Below are 10,314 nucleotides of genomic sequence, written 5' to 3'. Positions count from 1 at the left end.
AGCAGAATAATGTTATTTCCTAATCTCAAGCTCTTTCCTCAGCTCCATCCCATTCCATCCACACATGCACCCATCCGCCCCTTCATTTCTTCAGTCACCCATTCAAAAAAGATTTTCTAAGTACCTGGTCTATGCCTGACATTGTTTCAGGTAATGGAAATAGAGCAAGGACAAGGTATTTGGCCTCAACAGTCTCATATTTTAGAACCATGCAATTCAATAGAATCTTCTGCGAGGATAGAAATATTCCAGACCCGCGCTGTTTATTATGGTAGCCACATGTGACTACTGAGTATTAAATGTGTGAGCAAGGCTGAGAAACTAAATTTTATTTTATTTTTATCAAGTGAGAACAGTTTTATTAATGAATACATAAGTGCATTAGTCTGTTTTCATGATGCTGATAAAGACATACCCGAGACTGGATAATTTATAAAGAAAAAGAGGCCAGGCATGGTGGCTCATGCTTGTAATCCTAGCACTTTCAGAGGCCGAGGTGGGTGGATCATCTCAGGTCAGGAGGTCAAGACCAACCTGATCAACATGGTGAAACCCTATCTCTACTAAAAATAAAAAAATTAGCCGGGTGTGGTGGTGCATGCCTGTAATCCCAGCTACTCAGGAGGCTGAGGCAGGAGAATCACTTGAACTTGAGGGGGTGGAGGTTGCAGTGAGCCGAGATCATGCCACTTCACTCCAGCCTGAGTGAAAGAGCAAAACTCCATCTCAAAAAAAAAAAAAAAGAAAAAGAAAAAGAAAAAAAGGTATAATGGCCTCACAGTTCCACGTGGCTGGGGAGGCCTCACAATCATGGCGGAAGGTGAAAGGCACGTCTTACACAGCAGCAGGCAAGATAGAATAAGAGCCAAGAGAAAGGGGTTTCCCCCTATAAAACCATCAGCTCTTGTGAGACTTATTCACTACCATGAGAACAGTATGAAGGAAACTTCCCCCATAATTCCATTATCTTCCACCAGGTTTCTCCCACAACATGTGGGAATTACGGGAGCTATGATTCAAGATGAGATTTGGGTGGGGACACAGCCAAACCACATCAATAGGTAACATGGGAATTATGGGAGCTACAATTCAAGATGAGATTTGGGTGGGGACATGGCCAAACCATATTTCCATCCTCGCAGAAGATTCTATTGAATTGCATGTTTCAAAATATAAGCTTGTTGAGGCCAAATACCTTGTCCTTGCTCTATTTCCATTACCTGGAACAATGCCAGGCATAGACCAGGTACTTAGAAAATCTTTTTTGAATGGGTGACTGAAGAAATGAAGGGGAAGATGGGTGAATGTGTAGATGGAATGAGAATTGTGGGAGCTATCATTCAAGATGAGATTTGGTTGGGGACATAGCCAAACCATATCGGTAAGGAATGTTATTAATTACTTAAGTTAAATGTAACTAGCTCCTTATGGCTAGTGGCTACTATATTGGACATCACAATTTCATGTTATATGCCTGGGATTATTCTAGGTCCTGGAATGTGCCCAGCAATAAGGTCTTTTGGTTTCTTGCAGGCTACATTCCAGTGCCAGGGGAGTAAAAAATTAAATCCATCAGAAGCAGCTCAGATTGGGACAAATACTTTGAGGATAAATTGGGATGGTTGGATACAAAGATAATTTGGGGAAGGGGCTTAATCAGAGTGGTCAGAAGGGACATCTCTCTATTTTTTTCTTCAGACAGAGTCTTGCTCTGTCACCCAGGCTGGAGTGCAGTGGTGCAATCACAGCTCACTGCAGCCTCAAACTCCTGGACTAAAGCAATCCTCCTGCCTTAGTCTCCCAAGTAGCTGGAACTACAGGTGTGAGCCACCAAACCCAGCTGATTTTTGTATTTTTTTGTGGAGATAGAGTGTTGCTATGTTGCCCAAGCTGGTCTCAAACTCCTGGCCTCCAGTGATCCTCCTGCCTTGGCCTCCCAAAGTGCTGGGGTTACAGGCATGAGTCACCATGCCCTGCCAGAATGGGCATCTCTTAAAGATGAGCTGTCTCAGGTTGGGTTCCCCAGGGCTCCTCCTCTGTCCAAGAGCAGAGACAGCAGGCAGGAGGCTTATCAGGGAGTTTCCTTGGGATCAGTTATGGAAGGGAAGGGAAGGAACTGGGATTGGACAGAGGGAGAGGTTGAGCCACGGTGCAGGCTCTACAACCTCAGCGGAACAGACGGGAGCTCTGGATGTAGCTCTTTTTGAGTTATCTCACTTGGACTGGAATAGCCAGGCCTTTAAACCCAGCATTGGTCATTCGTTAGTTGTGGCCTACCCTGGGAAGGGCATGGTTTGGGCGAGGGAGGCCATTTTGAAGCTGAGACCATCTCTGATTTGGGCTGAACACCAAAGGCTGCCTGCAGACAGCACTCACTGGAGCTGGGCAGCAAGTCCTTTCTTGAAGGGGGATCTAGGAAGCCCACGTCTATCTCCATCACAGGGGCAATTCCACGGACAATGAGTGAAGGGAGGAGGAGACTGCAGGAAGACAAGGGGTAAGAGAATTCCAGCACAAGGAAGACACGGAGGCGGGGGGAGGAGGAGGAGAGGGAGAAGGAGAGGGAGGAGGAGAAGGAGGAGGTGAAGAGGGAAAAGGAGAAGGAGAGGGAGGAGGAGAAGGAGGAGGAGAAGGAGAGGGAGGAGGAGAAGGAGGTGGAGAGGGAGGAGGAGAAGAGGGAGGAGTAGAAGAAGGAGGACAAGAGGGAGTAGGAGAGGAGTAAGAGGAGACATGGAGGAGAAGGAGGAGAAGATGGAGGAGGAGGAGAGGGAGAAGAAGAGTGAAAGGAAGAAGAAGAAAGAACAAGAACAACAATGTGAATTTCCATCTGGGCTGAGAGGGAATCAGATTCTGTAATCAGTTCTTGATATCTGCCATGGGCACAGGGAGGGAATGGTTGAGGCAGTCTTGTGGTGAATTTTCTACCCTCTGTTTACTTCCTAATTTATTCATTAATAATTTAATATGTATCTACAAACACCCCACCCAAATCTGTGATTTCCCTCAGAAGACAGAGCAGGCTGTAATGACTCCTAGAGGTCCCTGGCCTGAGAGTCTGACCTCTCCACACTATGAGACTCGACAGCCTGGCTACCAATCTTTCCTTCCCCACACATTCACCATCGGTCTCATCTTAGGAAGCAGAAAAGGCAGATCCCAGGGTTAAATCAAGACTCCTTTATTGGTGGTTATGCCGCATTCTCTCTACGTTCTTCACAAAGGACCAGCTGATTGAAGCAGGTGGTGCAGAGGGTATTTCTAAAGGTGGTTATTTAAGCTTGACAGATGCAATGAAAAAGACAAATCTGTGCTCAGCCTCAGTATGGCGGCAGTCTTCCTCTGAAGATATTTCTCCTTTCCTTGAAAATAGAAGCAAAGATCTGAGTTTAATGAATAAGTAGGCATTGACTCAAAGAGGAAGGTGAATTAAAAATGACTTTGTATTGGTTTTCCAGACTTAGTCGGAAGCAGCTGAGCTGAGAGGAATCAGACGCCCCCACCCCCACATCCCTGCCTAGCTCATAGGAGCAAGGAGATCAATGAACAATGAGCTCCTCAATCTCACCTCTATGCTAAGGGGAAGGGGACCTGCAAAGTGCCAGTTCTGCTGTGATGGACAGAAGTCAGAGGCTGGACGCTGTTCCTAGTCCTAGCCACAGACTGAACGCCACTGTGGGTGTTTTTTAATATCTACCCTGTTAAGATGGTGCCCAGAGTTCCAAACCCCCTCCTTTCCCTCTCCTCTATTCCAGGAAGATGATTTTCATTACCAAGGCAAAATTCAGGAAGGGCCCGCTAATTTAGTGTCATCCATAAGCCACATGCATTGTAAGGACAGACATTGCTAGAACCACCAGGGTTTTCCACCCCAAAGGGAGGAGGGATGGGGTTTTGTCTACACATCTGATGAAAGGGCTTCTCTTTTTTTATTTAGATTCCAGAAGTCACAGAGCAGTGAGGTCAGTTGATCCATGCGGGAGATTTAGAGACCATTTCTACAGGCTGGAGAACATCTTTCAAGCTTAAATAACCACCTTTAGAAATACCCTCTGCACCACCTGCTTCAATCAGCTGGTCCTTTGTGAAGAATGTAGAGAGAGGAAAAGACTAGAAGAAAAGGAGGGATAGGCCAGGTACAGTGACTCACGCCTGTAATCCCAGCACTTTGGGAGGCCGAGTTGGATGGATCACCTGAGGTCAGGAGTTTGAGACCAGCCTGGCCAACATGGTGAAACCCCGTCTCTACTAAAAATACAAAAAAAAAAAAAAAAAAATTGCTGGGCATGGTGGCACACCCCTGTAATCCCAGCTACTCAGGAGGCTGAGGTGGGAGAATTTCTTGAACCCAGGAGGCAGAGGCTGCAGTGAGCTGAGATTGCACCACTGCACTCCAGCCTGGGCGACAGAGTGAGACCCCGTCTCAAAAAAAATAAATAAATAAAATAAAGAAAAAGAAAAAAATAAAGAAAGAAGAAAGAAAAAAGAAAAAAAGAAAAGAGGGATAAAGTTGGTTCTGTGGAGGTACTTGATGACCAGCGGGCTGAGGTGGGGCAGGAGGCCCAAATGGTGAAGGAAGAGAAATAAACCCCATTTTTCCCTTGGTCAGCTACTCAGTGATGGGGGCAATGGATGCACACCATGGTGTCTTGGCTTCTGGGTTATCCTTCCTTTCCTTGCTTCCTTCCCTCCTTCCCTTTCTTCCCTCCCTCCCTCCCTTCCTTCCTTCCTCCCTCCCTTCCTTCCCTTCCTTTCCCTTCCCTTTTCTTCCTTCTTTCCTTCCTCCCTTCCTTCCTTATTTCCTTCCTCTTTTCCTTCCCTCCCTCCCTTCCCTCCTCCCTTCCTCCATTCCTTCCCTCCTCCCTTTCCTACTTTCTCCCTTCCTCCTTCCCTCCCTCCCTCCTCCCTCACTTCCTCCCTCCCTCCTCCCTCCTTTCCTCTCTTCCTTCCTCCCTTCCTTCTTTCCTTCCTCCCTCCCTTCCTTCTTTCCCTCTCTCCTTCCTTTCTTCTCTCCTTCCTTCCTTTCCTCCCTCCTTTCTTCTTTCCTCCCTCTCTCTACCTCCTTTCTTTCCTCTTTCTTCCTTCCCTCCCTCCTTCCTTCCCTCCTTCCTTCCTTTCCCCTCCGTTCTTTCTTCCCTCCCTTCCTCCTTCCTTCCCTCCCTCCCTCCTTTCTTCCCTTCCTCTCTCTTTTCCTCCCTCTCTCTTTCCTTCCTTCCTTCATCTTTCTTCCTTCTTTCCTTCCTTTCGTCCATCTTTCTCTTTTTCTTTCTTAGACAAGGTCTCACTCTGTTCCCCAGGCTGGGGTACAGTGGTGTAATCATAGCTCACTGCAACTCCTGAGTTCAAGGGATCCTCTGACCTCAGCCTCCTGAGTAGCTGGGACTACAGATGTGTGCTATCACACCCAACTAATTTTTTTTTTTTTTGTAGAGACAGGGTCTTGCTACATTGCCCAGGGTGGTCTCAAACTCCTGGCCTCAACTGATCCTCCTGCCTTGGCCTCCCAAAGCACTAGGATTACAGGTGTGAGTCACCACAGCTGGTCAGTTATCCCCTTTTCTGGGTTGTTTTTTCATACCATGCTCCACTTTGAGAAATTCCACTTTTCTAATCATCAACAGCCAAAGCCTCCCAGACTTGAAACTTGGAATGATACCTTCCTGGGTCTGAAAAAGTTTGCCAATCCCCCTCTGCTCTCCTGCTTCTGGGGGAAATCCCAATTTCTTTCATCCTTCTAATCTGGGGAGTTGTTCCAGTCTTCCCCAACTCCACCTTATCTTTGACAACAGGAGCCCGCATTGCTGGGAACCTCAGCTAATCAGACATGCTGGAAAAGCAACAGATCTCGCCTTCACATCAGCGACGCTAATCAGACACGCTTGAAAAAGCAGATCTCGCCTTCGCATCAGTGACACACCAGTTGTGCACCTGTCTCACCTCTGCATCCGTGAAATGACCACTGTTGGTCCCTGCTCTCACCTCAGCATCAGCAATACACCCAGGTGTGGTCTTGGTCGTAGTTGTAAGAAGTTGCACACCACACAAGGTTCTCCTTTGATCCTTCGTTAGTGCAGTTAAAATAATTCTTGTTTTTATAGTTGAACGGAAAGTGACAAGGAAAGCCAGGGACCAACGCGGAAATTCCTAGGAAGCAGAAGGGGATAAAACAAAGGTTACTCCTCAGGCTTCACACTGTCGTAGAGGCGTGGGCTTCAGGCCCACCCTAGATTTCAAATTGGGGCTGAGTGTGGTGGTTCGCGCCTTTAATCCCAGCATTTAATCGCGCGCATTTAATCCCAGCTCAGTTGTGAGGCTGAGCCAGGAGGATCATGTGAAGCCAGGAGTTCAATACCAGCCTGGGCAACATAGTGAAACCCCGTCCCTACAAAAAAAATTTTTTTAATTAGTTGGGTGTGGTGTATGCCTGTAGTCCCAGCTACTCGGGAGGTTGAGGCAGGAGGATTGCTGGAGCCTGGGAGGTCGAGGCGGCATTGAGCCATGATTGCACCACTGCACTGTAGCCTAGGTGACAGATGGAGATCCGGTCTCTAAAATATAAAATGTGGCTGCGCTTTGTGGCTCATGCCTGTAATCCCAACACTTTGGGAGGCTGAGGCAGGCAGATGACTTGAGGTCAGGAGTTTGAGACCAGCCTGGCCAACGTGGTGAAACCCCATCTCTACTAAAAAAATACATATATACAAAAATTAGCTAGGTGTGGTGCCAAGCGCCTGTAATCCCAGCTACTTGGGAGGCTGAGGCAGAAGAATCGCTTGAACCCAGGAGGCGGAGGTTGCAGTGAGCCGAGATCACGCCACTGCACTCCAGCCTGGGCGACAGAGTGAGATTCCGTCTCAAAAATAAAATAAAATAAAACAAAATATAAAAAGTAAAAAAAAAAAAAAACTAAAAAATAAAATCTGGGTAAACCCTACACATGAAGACACTGCCTGGGCACTGCTCAGAATGCCGACCTAAACCTAAGCCAAAGAAGAATTTTGTTCACAGTACAAGAGCTGAAATGAGCCGAAAGAGCACCCCCTTGTTCCCCCTTGGCTGAGAACATGAGTGTTGGGAGACTCAAACTCAAACTTCCTAACTCTGTGTGTGTCCACAAATGACCACAGAAGCACCACAAGTATCAATTTTCTGAGTGACAAAGTTTAGCGAGTAGGCACATTTGCACCTGTGGAATCCATGAAAGATGAGGACGTAAATGATGTCCTCATGAAAGATGACCCCATAAATAGTACAAACTGGAAGCCTCTATCCACAGCAGCTTGAGGCAACAGAGGGTAAATGGGTCTCAATTTTTGCTGTCACATCTCCCATGACCAGCTGAGAAATAATTTATTTTATTTAGGAAAGTCCCAAGTTGTTGGAACAACACACCCCCCCACCCACAGCTATTCGGACTGACCCCTTGCCCGGAGTGGCGCAGAAATATAACTCCTTCTAGTTCCTCTTTGCCCAAGGACTTCCCTTTCCTTTCCACTGGGTCTTGGGTATTTTCTTCCCTCAGAAGCTATCAAGAGTGTAGGACATGAGAAAGGCTGGAAGATAGGGCAGGCACTGGAATAGGGAAGAAGGGCAGAGTGGAAGCACAGAGGGCCCTGGAGGAAGGAGGGAGAAGGAGAATGCTGGTCACCAGGAGCACCTGGTGGATGGAGGATTTGTCTCAGAGGACTAATTCCAGTGTCCTCATCTTTCATGGATTCCACAGGTGCAAATGCGTCAACTCGCTAAACTTTGTCACTGATGAAATCGACACTCATGACGCTTCTGTGGTCATTTGTGGACACACACAGGAGAGGAAATTTGAGTCTGAGTCTCCCAACACACATGTTCTCACCCAAGGGGGAACAAGGGGATGCTCTTTTGGCTCACTTCAGCTCTTGTACTGTGAACAGGTGCACTTTAGCAGTATAGTATTATGTTTTCCAAATGTTTGAGCCTTTTGTTGGGTGATTTCACTGTTTGCTTATTTATTTATTTTAGACGCAAGGTCTCACTCTGTCACCCAGGCTGGAGTACAGAGGTGTGATCACAGCTCACTGCAGCCTCAACCTCCCAGGCTCAAGTGATCCTCCCATCTCAGCCTCCCAAAGTTCTGGGATTATAGGCGTGAGCCACCATTCGTGGCTCACACTGGGGTTTTTAAAAACCCTGGCGTGTGTTTACTCTGTATTTGCATCATGGTTAGGTGTTTAACATTTTGAGCATTTCATTTTGGCACCTTTCTCTTGGATTTTAAAGCCTGTGGCATATCACATCATTGACATTATTCGTGAGCCAGAACTCTGTCTGCCGGATTCATCACCAGATCCTCAGTGCCCAACTCAGTGCCTGGCTCACAGTGGGGTTTCAGGAGGTGTTTGTTGAGCAAATGAAAGAAAGACTCCACCCACACCCACCCAACCCCCATCCCCAGATTACTGGTGTCGGCACAGAAACTCCACTTTCCATCCTTATCCATGTTCTCTGTGGTTGGGCACCAGAGCTTGTTGCTTTCATCCTCCATGCAATCAGAGACCACATTATTTCTGTAGATGGAGGGGAAGATGCAGGGCTTCCTGAGAGAATTTCCCCCATACTCTGAAAAGGATTATGGAAAGGTTACGGGTCAAGAAGAGGAGATGAAAAGAGCTTCCATTTATGACACACAAACTGTGCCACGCTTTATCCCATTAAAGGCAACGTCACATTGGATTCTCCAAGCAACTTCCGGATGACGTTATTATCCCAATGTTACGGATAAGTGAGAACCAAAACTATCAACTCGTGCACAGCTTACTGTCTCTATTAACACGACTTCACGGTTCTGCGGTCGCCATCACCTTGACTCTACTAAGCTAGGAAATTCTTGCCCAGGAAGATAAGAGTTGCGAATAGCCCTATTATTCATTCCAGAAGCCTCCAGAAAAGCTAGTTACATAAATATCGATTGTGTCAAAACACTATTTACTCTCCTAGACTCTTTAAAACCCCATCTTTGGTCATTTCACCTTGCTGTGAACACCAATCCTAACTATTATATCATGATCCTTACACAATCCAAATCACATCCCCCATTGAAAGACCCACCTTAGACGAGACTCCAAGACCCCATCAATATGCTGAGTTTTCCCTCCCCACTTCGAGACGTTATTTTTTATTTTTTTAGATGGAGTCTTTCTCTGTCAACCAGGCTGGAGTGCAGTGGTACGATCTCGGCTCACTGCAACCTCCACTTCCCGGGTTCAAGAGATTCTTCTGCCTCAGCCTCCCGAGTAGCTGAGATTACAGGCATGCACCACCATGCGTCGCTAATTTTTCTATTTTTATTAGAGAAGGGGTTTCACCATGTTGGCCAGGCAGGTCTTGAACTCCTGACCTCAGGTGATTCACCTGCCTCGGCCTCCCACAGTGCTGGGATTACAGGCATGAGCCACCACGCCCAGCCCAAGACGTTATTAAGATGCTGTCAAGGAAGTGAGCAATAAACTCAGTCTTGCCTAATTAGCAGGCTTTTTTTTTTAATTTCCTTTGGTGGTCTTTCATGGGGAGCTAGAATTTGACTAAGGGGTTGGGGTTTTCAGGCAGTAATGACTGGTGATTAAGAGCACAAATTCTGAAGGTTAGACTTCCTGGGATCAAAATCACAGCTTTGCTTCTATTAACCTCAGTTTGTCCATGTGTAAAACTGGGCTAATAATCACATTTACCTGATAGAGATTATTGTATGGAATAGATGAGTTATTTCATGTGAAGCACTTAAAATACTGCCTGGCACATAGAAAATGCTTATTAAAAGTTCATTATGTTATGATAATTATTACTTCTATGATCTAATGTGTCCAAGATCACATAGATGGTAAGGGAAACAACAGAATTCCAACTCGGGTCTAACTTCAAAGCCCATTTTTTTGCCTAGTGTCTCAGATGATAGCAGAAGAAAGCTCACATTTCTTGGGTACCTGGTATGGCATCACCATCAATCCTGCATGAAAATAAACTCCAGTCTTTACAAAAACCCTGTGATGCCAGCCTTAGCATTCTCATTTTGCAGATAATAAAAGTGACTTCCCAGGCACGAATTTCCTGGGTTAGTAGAGTCAAGTTGATGATGACTGTGAAGCGGTAAAGCTATGTTCATGGAGACAGTAGCATGCAGCCATGGGTGGTCTTGGTTCTCACTTATCCATAGAAAGGAAATAATCAACAACTTTCTTAACCTAATGGGGAAGCCAAAGCTAAAAGGTATCTCTTCTTGGACATCCGTTTGGTGATTTATGCAAATTTGAATCTGTTACTCCATCAAAACTGGGTCTAAGGAGA

At 46.3% G+C, this 10,314-nt stretch overlaps 1 protein-coding gene across 3 annotated transcripts in view, besides 1 other annotated feature; it reads right to left on the bottom strand.

The window, feature by feature from the left end:
• Window positions 1-3,156: 3,156 nt before the first annotated feature.
• ELSPBP1 (epididymal sperm binding protein 1) overlaps window positions 3,157-10,314 on the bottom strand; it is a 30,523-nt gene continuing 23,365 nt past the window's right edge. For 2 of the 3 annotated variants that reach the window (NM_022142.5, XM_017027130.2), the window contains exons 5-7: window positions 8,434-8,592; window positions 5,977-6,141; window positions 3,157-3,359 (exon numbers count right to left, since the gene is read on the bottom strand). In NM_022142.5, coding sequence (NP_071425.3) covers window positions 5,984-6,141; window positions 8,434-8,592 — 317 coding nt within the window. In that variant the 3' untranslated portion in view covers window positions 3,157-3,359; window positions 5,977-5,983. Of the gene's footprint in view, window positions 3,360-5,934; window positions 6,142-8,433; window positions 8,593-10,314 lie in introns of those variants that run through there. The other variant, XM_047439213.1, reaches the window with a different exon arrangement.
• Window positions 8,365-9,564: an enhancer, noted in NCBI's record as "CDK7 strongly-dependent group 2 enhancer chr19:48522004-48523203 (GRCh37/hg19 assembly coordinates)". NCBI's record gives its function as "activates an origin of replication core promoter dependent on BRD2, BRD4, P300/CBP, MED14 and CDK7 cofactors, with strong dependence on CDK7, by STARR-seq in HCT116 cells {active_cell/tissue: HCT116}" and the evidence as "EXISTENCE:reporter gene assay evidence [ECO:0000049][PMID:35650434]".

This window comes from Homo sapiens, chromosome 19 (genome assembly GCF_000001405.40).
Source record: "Homo sapiens chromosome 19, GRCh38.p14 Primary Assembly".
In the NCBI taxonomy this organism is placed as follows: Eukaryota; Metazoa; Chordata; class Mammalia; order Primates; family Hominidae; genus Homo; species Homo sapiens.
Note: the sequence above shows the minus strand (reverse complement) of the source record. Positions and strands in the feature narration are given on the sequence as shown.